Raw genomic sequence first — 17,865 nt, 5'->3', positions numbered from 1 at the left:
AAAAAAAGAAAAAAGTGAGTTATTTTTCACTCAGAAAGGAAACTTAAATATTAAAATTCCAAGTACATGTGCGGCCAATGTATTATCTAAAGAGGAATTAAAATTAAATATCTATGTTTTGAGCTCATTGAAGAAAAGTTACATTTGTAGGTTATGTGAAGGTTGTTTCAGATTTTCCATACTTGACTACAGTAAAAACTTTCATGTGATAGCCCAAGAAAAGTGTGAGTTTCATAAACTCTTAGCTTGAGTTTAAGAATTGTTTGGAGGGAAGTTGTCAATTTCATAAAAACTGTAATGATGAGTAAAATTCAGAGCGTTTCTTCCCTGACAGCACCAAGTATGGGCTCTTCTAGCTAAGTGGAATTGCGTGTTTGGAAAGATGTCGCCACTTAGTGAAGTGCTGGAGACTTGGCAGTCAAAGGAGAATTGGGAGTCTTCTGATTCACTTACCTGATAGACAAACCACTGGCAGAATGCTGGGGAGACCCATTCTCGTGCGTGAATGCCACAATCCGTAAAAATAGCCTTTCTTCTTTCATTCTTTTCCCCAATCTATTTAAAAGTAAACTTGAGATATTGTTTTGAACAAACTCACACATTGATCCCTTGTTGACCAATAACTCATTCATATTCTCAAAGCAATTATTTCCCCTGTCTATTGTTGAATGAGAACCATGTATGCACATATTGTTCTCAGAAGGGACCATGGGACATATCCTTAAATGTCTATACATAATTCATAATCTATTACAATGCATATTTTTCAAAAAATTTTTCTAGTGTCAGGGCAGCTGGTAGGATTTTGAAAAAAATTTGTAGTCCATTGTTTTTATTTTATTACTAACATCCTGTGTTCTGAGAAATTTATTATAAAGTCACTTTTGTTTCTGCCACTTCCTTTTGTTTTTCTGGTTGTGTAAACTGGGGATATTTACCCTGGAATGGAGAAGATCTTGTGTTGTGTTGGAGTGGGGAAGGGAAATAGTACTGGATACTTGAATGGCTGTCATTTTGAAGAGAGTGCAGGTTTGTTTTGAGTGGTTGGAGATAATGAATGAATGGGGGTTTGGGATGTGGATGGGCTTCTCACTTGTTAAGTGGCTGCTTCAGGGAGCAGTATCTTTGGATGTGCAAAAATCCAGCAGCAATGGAGTGGAAATTGTTGGCTCTGATATAGGGAACCCTCAAGCAATCCATGGTTGAAATGCCTAACACACTGTTCTACAGTCCTATGATGCTATGATATTTAAATTCCCTTCATGACATTCATTCATCAGTTTCACTGCATTTTAAGGGATGAGGGTTTTTTTTATACCAGAGACATCATGGACTCTTGTAATAAAGCTGTGGGATGAAATATTTGTTTGGGTTTGTCCACTGTGCAATCTCTGACAAATGTTTATCCAGACACTTTCTTGGTTCCACCAAAACCGCTTGTCATTTCTATTCTTTAATGGATGTCTAGAGCTTAAATATTCTTTCAGAGATAATATGTATTAGCTCAGAATTAGCTTAGTTGTGTTACAAAGTAACTTTTAAATTCATGTTTTTCAACAGTAATAAGAATTAGTGGTTCTTGAGTTATTTTTACCTTCAGAACATATAGTGGATTATCTTCAACAGTAGATCCAATTTTAATACGAGAGACCATTTCAGGATACTTATCCATCATCTTTTCAGTCCAAGCCACAATCTTAAGAGCAAAATCAATTTTGAGAAATTAGAATAAAAGAAAACAAAATGACAATAAATATTAAGGGTAACTTAAAAAAAAGTACAGGCATTTTTTACTGTACCTTTTCCCAATTATTGTATTTTGCGTAGCTGTGCCTGCCTGGGATATCTTCTTTAACATCAAACTGTTTCTCAATCTCTTCTTGTAGATCATGAATCAAGATTCTGTTTGACAGGGGAATGATAAAATACATGTTTTATCATGAGAAAGGAAAACACAGTTATCTTTCATTTGCAGAAATTTCTCTTCCTTCTCCTTTATCTTTAATCAAGTTTGCTCTGTTTCTTCATTATTCTCCTCTAGCTATCTCCTTTAGACATATCATGTGTCTGGCTTCTGATCTCCCCATTTATCTAGAGCTGTGCTGTCCAGTGTGATAGTCTCTAGCCCCAAGTGCATACAGGACATGTGAAGTGGGGCTTGTCCAAGAGTAGATTGCTGTATGTGTAAAATATACACCAGATTTTGAAGATAGTATAAAAATGATATAAACTATCTCACTAATAAGTTTTATGTTGTGTAGAATAAAAATTTCAGATATATTGGGCTAAATAAAATGTATTGCTACAGTTAATTTTACCTGTTGCTTTTTACTTTTTTAATGTGGTTACCACAATTTTAAAATTATGCATGTGGCTCGTATTGTACTGCTATAGTACTCCCCATCCTTCTCCAAAACACACACACATCTACATCCACATAAACACAGGCAACAAGGGATTCTTTCATGCACACATCTACAGATCATACCTTATAATTTCACACCTTCTGAGCTGGGAGAAACTTGAATAATAATGATAATTATAATAGTAAGCAGGTACTTAGCACTACCTTGTGCCAGGCATCGCTCTGACCTCCATATGTACATTATTAATTCATTTAATCTTCACATTAGATTATTATGCTTATTGTACAGATGAGAAAAATGAGGTACAAAGTGTTGAAACAACGTGCCTATAGTGATGGATCTAGAAAATGGCTAACATGATTTGAAGGGGGTGAAATAAGAGGTGGGAAAAATCACTAGGAGACTAATGTTGAGGGTCAAGAGGCTTACGGCTTACACCTTATCTTCCTATTTCCTTTTTCTTTCTTTCTTTCTTTTTTTTTTAGATGGAGTTTCACTCTTGTTGCCCAGGCTGGAGTGCAATGGTGTGATCTCGGCTCACCACAACCTCCACCTCCCGGGTTCAAGTGATTCTCCTGCTTTGGTCTCCTGAGCAGCTGGAATTACAGGCATGTGCCACTACGCCAGCTAATTTTGTATTTTGAGTAGAGACGGGGTTTCTCCATGTTGATCAGGCTGGCCTCGAACTCCTGACCTCAGGTGATCTGCCCACCTCAGCCTCCTGAAGTGCTGGGATTACAGGCGTGAGCCATTGCTCCCGGCCTCATCTTCCTATTTTCATCTCTTTCTGAGCCATCTCATGTCATCATTTTATGGAGTCCAGTGGCTGTAATGGTCACCTGATGGTCACTTATACTTGACTCTCCTCTGAACTCTAGGCTTACACATCCAACTGCCTACATGACGTTTTCACTTGGATTCAGATATCCATATGTGTAATACAGGCCAGGTACTGCTTTATACACATTATTTAATTAATCTTGTCAGTATTATCACTTTACAGATGGGGAAGTTAGTGCTCAGAAGGTTTAAATACTCACAGTGTATGAGATGGAGTTGGGAATTTGAATACAAACTGCCTCATTTCAAGATTTATTTTTAAAAAATGTCATCATCATATATGCAAGTATTTTATTTATTTTGTCTGGGAATTTTCTATTTGCTTCATTAATCTTTTTTCTTATGCCTTAATAGAAACCAAATCATATTTAATTACAGTAAAATTTAATACTGGATAATGTATCTTATTCTTTTTTTCCAAAAATTTTGAGTAATTTCACCTATTTTAAATAAATGTCTTGGCTGGGCATGGTGGTTCACACCTGTAATCCCAGCACTTTGGGAAGCTGAGGCAGTTGGATCACATGAGGCCAGAAGTTTGAGACCAGCCTGGGCAACATGGTGAAACCCCATCTCTACTAAAAATACAAAAGTTAGCCAGGTGTGGTAGTGGGCACCTGTAGTCTCAGCTACTCGGGTGACTGAGGCATAAAAATTGCTTGAACCCAGGAGGTGGAGGTTGCAGTGAGCTGAGATTGTGCCACTGCACTCCAGCCTGGGTGACAGAGGAGACTCTGTCTCAAAAAAAAAAAAAATGTCTTATCAGAATCATTTTAGGAATTAGAATGATCAGAAAAAATGGGATTTTTTGATAGACATTAAATTATAAATAAATATAAGAATTTTATTAATAATGGATCATAACATAATTGTATCTTTGATTCTTCAGTAAAATGTTAAGTATTTTGATCATCTATTTATATATATATATATTTTACCAGTTTTTTGACTTTTTTTCTCACTACATTTTTGGTTATTACAGTATTCATATATTAAAAAACCATTTACTTTGATTACACTTAGCTATTTTATTAGATTAAAAAACTATCTTTATACTTTTAAGAATTTTAGTTATGTTTTTAGGGTATTTTCTGTGTTATTTCTTCTGCCAATATCTATACTTTCTAATTTTCTTAATAACTATTTCTTTTTTTCCTTGCTGTTTTGCATTGGAAAACTCTCTGAACTATGATAAATAATAGTAGCCATAGACGGCATTCTTTTTTTCTGCTTTTTACAGGAAAACTTATCTTTCACTGTTAAGAATGATGTTGAATGCCACTTTGAGATTAATATGGCAGTATCAATTTATATGATCAAATTATTGTCCGTTGATGTATGGTTGCATTAAAACCTATTATTAGATTCCTTATTTTGTTAAATATTATTTTACAGCTGTAGGAGATTTACAAATACCCTCACAAAAAATCTTGTCTGTCTTATTTTAGATACTGTTCTAAAAATCTTGTTTAACCCAGAAGGAATGCATTGGATCTAGGGAAAATGACTTGCTGAAAGCAAGCAGCGAACACACTGTTATCAGTAGGTGATAGCTGACAGCAAAAAGAAAAAAAAAGAGAAAAGTTAAAAAACTCCCTAGACAGAAGGACTTAGAAAACATGGGTCAGTGGTCTCATAGCACAGTATGAAAATTCATATTGATAATGATAATTCTTTACCCAAAGGTAAACCATATTCAATATACTCTATTTTGTAGGGCAGAAAATTATCGTTATAATGGAAATGTTTCAATAAAAATATTAAAAAGAAAGGATTTCTTGAAGTCGTACTTATCTGAACAATTTTCTTATTTGGCTTATCTCATTTCTCATTGACTCTATATAAATAAAGGAATTACTCACCTTTTGGTAATGAAATGCACATGTATTTTTTTTTCTGCTGTTAGCAGTGAGTCCTGGGTGCAGGAAGAAGTCTATTTTTTAACATTCACTCTAGTCTTTGGGACAATATCATGTACTCTTTCCGTCACTATAAATCTTATCAAATAAGGAAGCAGTGAGTGACCTGTGTTCAGACCTTCTTGGGTTCCAACCCCAGTTCAGCTACATAATACGAACATGTGATCTTGGGTGGCTTAGTTACCCTCTGAACCTCAGTTTTCCAACTTTTACAATTGTGGTGACCAGGCTTGTGGTGAGGATGAAATGAAGTAAAACCTAAGTGCTTGGTGGCCTCAGGCTCCCATTGAACTTCAGAATAATAGTGAAGTTGGGTCATAAAATCGACAACCATTTTACAGTCATAACATGTTTTTAAAGCAGGCTTTGATGGTATGTAGATGTTTGACTCTTTGATTTCTTCAATTTCTTATAATAATGAGCTATGACACTGACACTGCTGAGCTCCACTCTACTTGTTGGTTTCTCCTTGCTGATTGACTGACTGATCTGAGTTCTGATGTGGAACACAAACGCTGTATTCCCTTAATTAGAGTTTATTTAGCACATGGGACCAAGTACTGCTCATGAATATTGATTCCTATTAGCAGCACTGACAAGCACATCATTATGTACATCATATCTAACTCACTGTATGCTTTGCTTTTGACTTATGATGAACCTAGGATTTCTGAGAAAATAAACTTGTGACAGCAATTTTGGAATCAGGTGGAGCATGTTGCACTGAAACTCACACAAAACCCGGGAAGGTTTGAAATTATATTTTGGGTGGTCATTACAGACATAACTAATTGCTTTAAGCTCTAAAAAGGGCACGTGGCTTTTGCTCCACCTGCATTAATAGAAGTGGAGAAACCAGGCAGAAGAGAAATTTTATGGTCCCAGAGGTTGATTTGTAACATAAGGCAGTATTAATTAGTCACAGGAAGCTTGTATCTAAGAATATTTTTAGACTTACACATATCAATTTAGCTCTTATGATAACAGCAGCAAAACAAAACCAAACAAAACAAAGCAAAAAAAACAGTGTGAGTTGAAGTACAACCTTTCCACAAATGATGTAGCTGCATGAGAACATCAGAACGGTGCCAGATTGTTGCTGATAGGGACTAGAAATTAAGCCTAAGGCTGGAAATTAAGAACTGGGGCCAGATGTTATTTTCACAAGCCCTTCTACTAACCAGCAGCCAGGCATAAACAAATGAAACCAAATTACTTTTTCTCAAATATTATTTTGAGCTCCAAAATTTGCTTAATTTGTTTAAGAAAATTCCTAAATATAGGTGAAAGGATAAATAATTATCACTGAGTATTGAATAATACAAATGTTTAATGTTTACTGAACCTTTCTTATGTGCCAGGCACTTTTCTCAGCACTGTATTTACATTTTATCACTCAACATGATTAACTGGGTACCATTATCAGCTCTTGTTTTTATGAAGGTTTGGCCAGTTTCCAAAATGGACACAACTGTTAAAATACAGAAGTTGGAATTTGAACCTGGAGGGTCTGACATCAGCACCGTAGCTGTGAGCCATTGTACAATAGTGCCTTCATCATGAGAGTGAAATCCTTGGGTATTGCCGTCAGATCTGCACTCTCCTTAGTCTTCGGAGGTTGGTGCACAGTTGGCCCAATCAACCAACTCTCATGGAAGTCTGTGTCCCAAGGTCAGGGAGCAAGTAAGAGGTTCAGAGAAGAGATGAGATAAATTCTACTTTGACAGTTTCAAGGCTCCCATCCTTTGCTGCTTTTAGAAAGCAACAAAGGACTGGAGAACTATGGGCCAATATATGTGACTATCGTAGGCTCTGGGGTGTGTGTGTGTGTGTGTGTGTGCGCGTGTGCGCGCGTGCATGCACTGGGGAAAGATGTTTCAGGAAGGCAGAGTCACTGTCAGGGTGACTTATAAATGGGACTGGATTCTCCTGATGCCCACATTACATCAGGATATGGTGCTATTCAAAAAGCATGGTTTCAGGTTTCCCTAAGATTCAATATCCCCCTGGTAACTCCCTAATTTGGTTACCACACATCAAATTCTACACTTACTGACATGGATTTCTCAAAGTTTGAGGAATACTACTCATTTATTCACTGGGAGGAAAATGGAACATCTGGTGATAGCCTCTAGTTATTCCCTGTTTCTGTGTGAGTGTGTGTGTGTGTGTGTGTGTGTGTGTGTGTGTGTATTCATAGAAGTAAAGGACCAGGCAGACAGCAACTTTACGATCCCAGTCAATCTTCATGAAACCCCTATGAAATAGATTCCATTATTATTCCCATTTTATAGATGAGGTATGAGGTAAAGCAAAGTTAAATAAATTGCCAATGTTGAGTATCTAATGCATGGCTTCAGTGGGACTGGACCCAGACAGCGTTGCTTCAGAACCCACTTTCCTACCTTCCACACTCCTGTTTGTCACATGACCAATTGTAACTTCAACATTTGTACCATGTAGCATGTTGTAGTATAACATGCATGTTATACTCTTAGGTAAGTAATACGTAAAAATGTGAAGCAGAAGAAAAAAATGAATGGAATGACACATTAGAATGATTTGATTGAAACACTGGATAGGACTGTGTATATCCCTGGAATATGAATTTGTATCTGACTGAACATTATTATTAGGCAGTTAGACATTAATATTAGGTGTTGATTATCACTGTGTCAGTTTGGCATAGATCTCTTTTGCATTTCTCACATAATCTTATATGGATCCTCGTAAGATTTTACTTAATTGTACCATTTGAGTTTTCTTATTATATTAATAGTTGTTTTCTGAGTTACCTTTCATTAACAACTCTTTATTTTCTAATTTTAACCTTTGATCAAAGAAAAGACAATGTTAAAAATTGACTGTCTAAAATGTGAACAATGTTAAAAACACTAGGATTTTTAACTGCTGAGTCCAAGTATAGTGTCTGCCCCAGAGGCTCAGTCCGATGGACGTGCCTTCCCTTTGATATTTGTTTGCCAGTCTGTTTGGGTTTGTTAGTATATCCATGTTGTTTGTTTTTTGAACTTGGCCTTTTATGATTTTGTAAATAAGTAAAAAAAGAAACAAGTATGCTACTTTAAAATAAAATCTGGCTTACTAACTTAATTTTCTAAAAATTAAAGAAAAACCACACAGATGCTTTAAACTAAATAGTAGTTGATATACCCTGTCTAATGAAGGGTGTGTAAGTAAATCTTTGTGTCAAACCAGCCTTTTAATATGGTTTAATTCAGCCTGGTGCCTGGGTCCGACCAGATGTTTCTGTTCTTAGAACTCTTTTCTGTTACTGACTGACACCAAGTAATGCATATAATTAATATGCAAATAAAATTATCTATATAATTAGTACTTGGAGACAAGATTTTAAGTAGTTCTTGTCTGCACTTATCACTTTACATATTTATATTTCTGAGGGAGGTAACTATCTAATTATTTGGCTTTCCCATAACTGTGGCTGATTTGGGCCACTTTGTAGAATTCATGTTTTAATTTGATAAAACCAATTTTTGTAGGTAATTTAACACTTTGGTACTTGACGTAGAAAGCAAGAAACTCCTTTGTCATAAGACAGAGTGAAAAACACACTAATTTGAGGATCTGGATTTAGACATCTAGTTGAATCAGAATCATTTCAGGATAGAAGAGGCCTAGAGGACCAAAGGAGAAAAAAGGCTGATGTGAGCTATTTGATAAATTGGAAGGATGCTAGCTGCCTGCCTAGGTGTCTTACAGTGATTTACTCCACTATTCATGCTCATGCCAAGCAACTAGCTTTTCTAGATACATTTTCTACATTGTAACTGCGTTATAGGGCTATTAAGGAAAACATAATACCTAATTCTTTACCTTGCTGTTCAAGCCAAATTATATAAAATTTGGCCACACCACTACTTTATTTTACCTTGGGCTGAATGCTTTGTAAGAATTAGTTTATCATAGGAATCCAGACCAGGTCTATATTATTGAAGTAAAGTGAAGAGTGTAATAATTTAGGCACATATACTAGAAAGCTGGCAATGAAGTGAATCAAGAGACACAGTAGGCCTGGTGCGGTGGCTAGGCCGAGGTGAGTGGATCACAAGGTCAGGAGATCAAGACTATCCTGGCTAACATGGTGAAACCCCGTCTTTACTAAAAATACAAAAAAAAGCCAGGCATGGTGGCAGGTGCCTGTAGTATAAGCTACTCGGGAGGCTGAAGCAGGAGAATGGCGTGAACCCGGGAGGCGGAGCTTGCAGTGAACCCAGATTGCGCCACTGCACTCCAGTCTGGGTGACAGAGCGAGACTTCATCTCAAAAAACAAAACAAGAGACACAGTAACCAGGGGTTATTTAAGATAGAGGGTTGATTTCTTTTAGATGAAAGAGTCAATACATTATCTGAACCTTAATGTAAACAGATAATGTAATACAAATTTCTGCAGTCTTGTAGTTACATTTTTGAAGTGTCTAATTTTAATGATGTGATTTATAAAAACAGAAAAACTTAGTATATTAAGTTAAAAGGGTTAAAAGCTGGTATCAATTAGTTTTTTTTATAAATATATATTTTTATACTTTAAGTTCTAGGGTACATGTGCACAGCGTGAATTATATATTTTCAATTTGTTAACTTTTACATTTCTGCCACAACCTTCTTGAAACAGTAACAAAACCGAAAAAGTCATCAATAACCATCACAAATAATAGAATGTTATCTTTAAAGCCGTGAATAAGAATGTTTTTTGCTCACTTATGTACGTGATTTTTAAATTTCAATGGAGTTTATTTGAGATATTGTGGCAATATCATAAATAAAATCAAGTTTATGGTGAGCAGTAGTAAATCCTGCTCTGCAATATAACATCACTGACATCAACAGGCTCTTTCTTTATCTCAGCCAGAAGCAGACCTTTTGAGTTAAAGTACCAAGTCAGGTAATGGAGGTATAAAATGGCAAGTTCAAAAAAAAAAAATGAACTAGTGTTTAGCAGTGTTTTGACAATGAGGGTCTCAACAAAGGGGAATCCTGGCATAACATGGCCTGGGGAAGTTAAAATGGGATCCCTCTGTACATCAAACTATGAAATGTTTGAAAGTATAAAAACACATTTTCTTTTTTTTTTTTTTTTTTTTTTTTGAGATGGAGTCTTGCTCTGTCACCCATGCTGGAGTGCAGTGGCGCGATCTCGGCTCACTGCAACCTCTGCCTCCCAGGTTCAAGTGAGTCTTCTGCCTCAGCCTCCCGAGTAGCTGGGACTACAGGCACACGCCACCACGCCCAGGTAATTTTTGTATTTTTAGTAGAGATGGGTTGTCACCATATTGGCCAGGCTGGTCTCTAACTCCTGACCTCATGAGCCACCTGCCTTGGCCTCCCAAAGTGCTGGGATTACAGGCGTGAGCCACTGCGCATGGCCAACACATTTTATTTTCTAAATTACACATTGATTTATGATATTCATTGCTGGGCTTCCTTCTCATTCACTGCCCAGGGCCCAGACTGGGCATGGCCCATGGTTGCTGCTCAATATATTCAGATTTTCTCTTACTTCTCTGTGGGGCCAGAATGACTCATTTCTGCATCTTTGGCTATTTGAGATTCTTTTCTCTTTGATTTAAACTGTATTCTACTGCTCTGCTTGTGCTTTCTCTGAGGAAGAATTTTTTTCATAAAGAATTATTTATTGTATATTTTTAATTGCTGTACTTCTGACATACCAATGACATACCAATTGCTGTATTTCTGACATACCAATGACTTTTTTTTTTGGTCTCCTTTTATGTATCAGGAAAATTCAAATATATAAAAGGAGGCCAGCGCCAGTAGCTCATGAGATCTGGGCCGATTACCTGTCAGTAGTGATGACATGTGGCTAAACCATTCATGCCTGCTCATGTGGGCTCTGTGCTTATGAGGGGCTGGTTTTGGAGATGGTAGATATAGGTAATTGTTATTCTTATAGCTAAGAGCAAATGTAAGGTAGATGTTGAACTGCCAAGTTTGATTCTATCACCTCTGTAAACAGGCTTCGATAATGTGTTTGGAAGTAACTGTGATCTGTATCTTACAGAAAGAGCTTTCGTTCTGGGGGGCCCAATTAAAAATAGGTCCATTGTAATACTTTCCTCTACTTCAAGGCTCCCAAAACTTTGAATATCCAACAAATTTCAATATTTGCCAAGGACTTACTCATAGTGCATTTTATTTTGATCCAAGGCAGACTGGATGGCTTGGGATTCCTTCTCACTAACTCGGAAATCCACCATCATATTAGCAGCTACGTGGTGGGTGGCACCTGGATACCAGAAGTCAAGCTGCAGAGATAAGCTCAATGTTAGTCAGAGTTTATTTGCTTACCCAACACTTATTGATTAAGAAATGATCATGTCTCATACACCATGAAAGGAATTTGGGGCTCAGCATAACTAAGATACAGACCCTTCTTTTAATAAGTTTATGGGATTTTTGCAAATATATTTAAGAACTGTTGAATATTAGGGAGGAGGAAAGAAACCTTCCTAGTGCCTGATCACTTTTTTTTTTTTTAAGGACTTCAGGTCTATCAAGTTAAAAAGGATGGGCAGATCTTTTGGTTAATTTTTTTCTTCCACAATTTTGGGATTGAATGGGATCACAATTCATCTAGCCACAGAATCTGCCTCTAATTGGAAATTTAAGTTAAATATCTGGTTAGTTAGTCCTCAAAACCTGATGTCCCTATAAACTCTGGAAATCCTGATACAAGATATTGTATCAAACAGTTGGCATAGACCCCCAGCAAAGTCATTTTTCTAGCAATATGTCCTTGGGCAAGTTACTAGGACTCTTTAAATTTTACTCCTCTCTCCTGAAATAATGGGGCAAATGAGGGTCCACTGGGAAGTGTTGTGAAGATTGTGAAATAGGTCTGAGGTCTGGGGCATGAAGACAGTTAACAGGTGCAGATTTTTTTTTCCTTTCTCTTCCTCTAGCTGACAATTTCAAAAATTTGGTATATGAGCTCAGAAGTATAGCATTCAGATCAAAATAATTTCGAGGCTGGGTGTTGTGGCTCACGACTGTAATCCCAGCACTTTGGAAGGCTGAGGTGCGGATCACCTGAGGTCGGGAGTTCGAGACCAGCCTGACCAACATGGAGAAACCCCACTTCTATTAAAAATAGAGAATTAGCCAGGCATGGTGGCACATGCCTGTAATCTCAGCTACTCGGGAGGCTGATGCAGGAGAATTGCTTGAACCTGGGAGGTGGAGGTTGCAGTGAGCCGAGATCTCGCTATTGCACTCCAGCCTGGGCAACAAGAGCAAAACTCTGTCTCAGAAAAAACACAAAAAACAAAAACAAAAGCAAACATTGAAAAGATTCCAGTTCTTGTGGTTCTTCAAAATCATACTCAATTGTGAAACTAAATGAAGTACAAGTCCCCAGCCTGGGAAATGTGAAGGAAAAGCTCAATTTCCACCCCTGCTTGTGTATGTGTTCAGGTCTGCCTGGCTGTTTCTTGGTTGAGTCCCCCTCTACCTCGAGGTCAATCAAGTGACAATATGAGGCTGCTATGAACCAACCAATGTTTATTTTGATCAAAAAGCTACATCATGAGTTGGACATATGAGAGATGTAGTGTGATGCAAAGGCAAGTTAGGCAGAGCCATCTTATCACAATAGACATTTCTGTGTTCTAGCAGGGTAATGTGCAGCAGGAGCTTAGAGCTTAGTGAACTTTCATGTATTAAGCAGGAGGCAAAGAGCTGGGTGCCACAGTTGTAGAGACTAATAAGGGACTTATGAGATGTGAAAGGTTTGGTGTGGAACACAGAGTCATACATGCATGTTTCCCACATGTTAACCAATGCCAGAGGAAGGAACCGGGTATTCCAGGAGCACAAGGAGCAGCCAAAACTGAGTCACGAGAGTTGATGAACAGAAGAGACGTCCTGCAGGAGACACTGCCTGAGTTGGATCTTGAGAAATAAGTAGGACTTACCCAGGTCAAAAGGGAGAGAAACACATTTTCATGAGAAAAGATGTACAGGGCCAAGGTGGGTGAGATTTTGGTGTTTATGGGGCTTGAAGGGTGTGGAAGAAGGTGGAGGAGCAGGATATTGAAGAGGCTGGTAGTTTGGCAGATCATAAAACGCTTTGAATGCTATACCAATACCAAAAGAAAATGCTTCTGACTGGGCATGGTGGCTCATGCCTGTAATCCCAGCATTTTGGGAGGCTGAGGCGGGTGGATCACTTGAGGTCAGGAGTTTGAGACCAGCTGGGCAACATGGCAAAACCCCGTCTTCACTAAAAACACAAAAATTAGCCGGGGATGGTGGTGGGCACCTGTAATCCCAGCTAATAGGGAGGCTGAGGCAGGTGAATCGCTTGAACCTGGGAGTCGGAGGCTGCAGAGATTGTGCCACTGCACTCCAGCCTGGGTGACAGAGTGAGACTCTGTCTCAAAACAAAAACAATAACAAACAAAAAACGCTTCTATGGTGCTTAATATGGCAGGCCTGCTTCTAAGTGCTATCAAACGCTTACTTAGTCTTTGTAGCAACCCTAGGAAGTAGCTATGACTATTATCCCCATTTTATAGCAGAAGAAATTGAGACCCAGAGATGTTGAGTAAGTTGCCTAAGGCTACAGAGCTAGCGTAGAGCTTGGATTTGAATGTAAGCGTTTGACTTTGAAGAAAATGCTTTTTCCGTACTAGGCTGCTTCTTAGTAATGACCCTCAAACGGAGGAATGCAATTGTCAAGTTTTAGAGTGAGCAATCAGGTTGCAATGCAGAGTTGGCTTTGTGGGAGTCAAGACTAGAGCCCTGATTGCTAGTTAAGGGACTATGGAAATTCTCCTTGCAAGAGGTAGAGTGAACATGAACTTGGCAGTGGCAGTGGAATGGAGGGCAATGTGTGGATTTGAGAAACATTTGGGAGTTAGAATAGGCAGGGCCTTTGATTGATTTGATGTAGAGGTAACTGTATGTTTGACTGGAATAAATCCCAGACCCAGTTCTGGGTTTAAATTTGATGTGTAATCTTGGTCATTTAATTTATTGTCTTTGCACTTTAGCTCTTCTGTTTCAAATGAGTTACATTATAACCCTGACATTGAGAATCTGCTGGAGAATTTGAAATGGCATATATAAGGTGGCTGGTGCAACATAAATAGGAGCAGCTGAATACATGATAAAATTATATTAGGCTGTTGGATTTTAAAGGATTGATCTAACTTTAAAAGTCTTATTTGAAAATGTACCTGCTCTTGGAAAGGGTCACATCTTGATATTAGCCAGTGCCTCAACGTTTTCAGTTAGTACTCAAGAGAAATTATGGCACCAGAGGAGATGAGGGTCGGAGTGGGGAGAATGGAGAGGGAATGGCACCCGTAGGCAAGAGAAAGATGCCCTGATAAGGAGGCCAAGAACAGCTCCTGATTTCATAGTTTTACCTTGAAAAAGCTGGTGTTTGAAAAGCTTTTGGGAGGAAAAACAGAAGTGGTAGTCTTGGAAACCAAGACCAAAACCAGAACAGGTGAAGTATTGGCCATTGGCTGAATTATCCAGATAGCTCCTGCTTTCCCCTTATGTTCAATAGTCTTTTGTAGTCCCATGGGCATTGACAGTAAAATAAGAAGAAGCATCTTTTAGAGAACAGTAAGAAAAGATAAAATATCCCTCTAAATGCTTACCTCATTGGTTTTGGCCAAGTCCTTTATGATGTCTGCTTGTTTTTCATCCTGGGGCTTCACGCGGAACACCTTCTCCCTTTGTGGAGGCAAATGAAAAAAAAAAAGTGAACTGTAAGGAAACAACCTTTAATTCTCTTCTACACAGAGACTGGAACACAGGAAGTAAGATTTACCTGTCAAAGCGGACAGGAGCAATTGCAAGAGTGGTAGCAATCAAACCCACAGGCAGGATGAGCCTCATGGTTCTTCTTTGCCTGCCTTGAGACCCTCTGGCAGTTTTATGCCTCAGCCCTTATCTTGATGAGCAGCTGATTTCCTCTTAGGGTTCTGTTGCACAAACTGTTCCCCTTCTTCCCCCACACCAGGTTTTTTTTTTCCAGCTGGAGAGGGAAAAACACTAACCCACCAAGCACATGCTACTTATCTACCTTTTGCAATAGGAAATACCCATTTTACAGATACAGGATGGGAAGCAAATGCCTTTAGCAAATAACTTGGCCAAGGTAACAGAGAAAGTATGTTCACAGAGCTGGGATTTACTAGTTCTATCTGTTCTAAAATACTACTCTACCATTCTGCTTGAATTGAATGATGGAAGAAATTAGTTTTAAAATTTGCACTTGGAGACTGAGATGAATTTGGGTATCTGGCCATAAAATCTTGGTGAGTGGTTCGTAATAATGTAAAATATATTTTTGAAGCTAGAATGTAAGTTGTGAAATTAAAAACATTTAAATTGACTGGGCACGGTGGCTCACGCCTGTAATCCCAGCAGTTTGGGAGGCCGCGGCGGGTGGATCATCTGAGGTCAGGAGTTCAAGACCAGCCTGGCCAACGTGGTGAAACCCTGTCTCTACTAAAAAATACAAAAATTAGCCGGGCGTGGCGGCAGGTGCCTTAATCCCAGCTACTTGGGAGGCAAAAAAAACCCCAAAAATTTAAATTACAAAATATAAATGTACTAAAAATGCTGTAAGTACTATGGCGAACATTGAAATGTTCACCATTTAGATTTTACAATGATAACATTTTTGTTATATTTTTCCTGTACTTCTCTGGGTAAAGAAATAAACACTAAAGACCTAAAGCACTGCCCTAACTCTTTGCCCTTCTCTTCTCTCTGTCCTCAGAGGTGACCCCTATTTCTAAGGCAACTTGAGAACTACCTGACAGCAAGAAAATATCAATGCTGTAATGTTTATTAATTGGACACTGTCTTCAGAGCCTGGATGCTGTAATTGCCAAATAATGCCTTTTGAGAGTTGAATTAATGAAAGCCACCTATAGACCATTCACAACCATCTCTGGAGGGATGTTTAGTCTTGAACACAACTTGGTTAATTATGGGAGAATAACACCTTTACCTAGAATCATAGGTAACCTAAAAGAGTAAGTGAATTTATCTAATCAGTTAACTTATTAGAATTTCCTTTTTGAAAACCACCTCTTCACATTGACAAACGTATAGCTGACTGTAGATAAAACTTCTCAGAGTCACGCTTATGTACTATCAAAATAGTGTGGTTGGAGACACGCCCCTGTTATATATACAGCAGCAGTAATTCCATTCTTCTCTATCTGATGGGTGTGTGGTAGAACTCGGGACTTTTTTTTATTTCCCCAAATGGATTTTCCGGCTCCAGCCTTGCAGGTAAGGAAGAGGAGGGTTTTACAAATGCCTTCATGTTCTTGACACTGGGCAAGCTCACCAGCACTGAGAACTCCCAAAGCAAATGCTTGCTCCATTGCTTTTGACTAAAGATACTTTTGACCAGGGAACAGTGAAAAAGAAAGACCTTGACTTTGGGTTTCGACAGACATCACTTCAATGTGGCTCCCACACGCTAGCTACATCCCCTTGAGCAGGCTGCCTAGTTATTCTGGGCCTTGGTTTCCTCATTTGTAAAATGGGAATGCTAATGTGACTCTAACAAGTGGCTGTGAGGCTTAGTGAGACAGGATATGTTAGGGACTTCGTGGTAGGTGCTAAAAAACACGTCCATGCTCTCTAGACAGTTGATAAAATGTTCATGTGCTGTCAACAGAGACTTCCAGTGGGCCACTGCCAGCCTGCAGAACCGGTATCAAAATAGATCATGTGGTAGATTAAAGTGGTGGCCGTGACCTTTAGGGATAAAATATGTCTCTGTATTTGTTTTCATGTGGACTACTTCAATAATTTTTTTTAATGTTATAGCTTTGCTTTTTAGAGTTTTATTTTCTGATTCTAAAAATTATAAATGCCCATTGAAAATGATTCTGGAAAATACAGGAAAGGTGAAAGAGGAAAAATAGAAATCCTCTTAATTTTAGAATTCTGTTATATTTTCTTGAAGCTGTTTCCTCTGTGACTGGTTTTAAAATTGTGTGGAGAAAGCTTCTATGTCTGTTTTTCAGGTCAAGTAGGAAGAACACTTTTATTTTATTTGGGGAATCTAGGTGAGTGCTTTGAGGACTTTGGTATTTCTCAGGATAAGACTTTGTTAATAAATAAAAGTACATCTTTGGCTTCTTAATAGATTACATATTGGCAATTTCTTCTTTCTGGAATATGATATAAACATGTGATGTGTTTGAGACTCCCACTGCCTCTCCAATCTATTTAGCCTCTGAAGAAAAATACAATAGATGGATTTCAATAATGTTCTAGAGCTTTTTCTCAGAACAAGCGCTATTTCTTGGCAAGCATAGATCAGTGCTGCCTTATATTACTGCATCAAGATTTATAAAAGGTCTTGGCATATGTGTGGGTAGGATGAATAATTGTCAAACCCCGTATCATTTTAGGATTGACTATGTAAGACTGTGATGTTTCACAGATTAAATCAACCTCTTTAAAAAGTGACTTAGAGGTGAATACTTCATGCAGCCATAATTTTCCATCTTTCTTGAGCTCTGCACTTTCTATGGTATTTGTAGTAGTGCACGTCTAGCCATGATTTAAAATATCACCATATAGTTTAGCTATGCTTTTCTCTATATATTTTTAATCATTATCACTCAGCAGAACCCTTTTTGCCCCCAAATTAACATGTTAACTTGCTATGGTCTGCCTTCTTTTCCTTCTAGAA

General features: G+C 38.0%; 1 protein-coding gene across 1 annotated transcript in view; it reads right to left on the bottom strand.

Moving 5' to 3' along the window:
- The window catches only part of CPA3 (carboxypeptidase A3), a 31,908-nt gene extending 16,861 nt beyond the window's left edge, over positions 1–15,047 (bottom strand). The window contains exons 1-6 of the mRNA NM_001870.4: positions 14,968–15,047; positions 14,795–14,870; positions 11,304–11,428; positions 1,800–1,902; positions 1,595–1,696; positions 454–555 (exon numbers count right to left, since the gene is read on the bottom strand). Coding sequence (NP_001861.2) covers positions 454–555; positions 1,595–1,696; positions 1,800–1,902; positions 11,304–11,428; positions 14,795–14,870; positions 14,968–15,035 — 576 coding nt within the window. The 5' untranslated portion in view covers positions 15,036–15,047. The remainder of the gene's footprint in view (positions 1–453; positions 556–1,594; positions 1,697–1,799; positions 1,903–11,303; positions 11,429–14,794; positions 14,871–14,967) is intronic.
- Positions 15,048–17,865: the final 2,818 nt, after the last annotated feature.

The sequence above is a fragment of the Homo sapiens genome, chromosome 3, assembly GCF_000001405.40.
Source record: "Homo sapiens chromosome 3, GRCh38.p14 Primary Assembly".
Lineage (NCBI taxonomy): Eukaryota > Metazoa > Chordata > Mammalia > Primates > Hominidae > Homo > Homo sapiens.
Note: the sequence above shows the minus strand (reverse complement) of the source record. Positions and strands in the feature narration are given on the sequence as shown.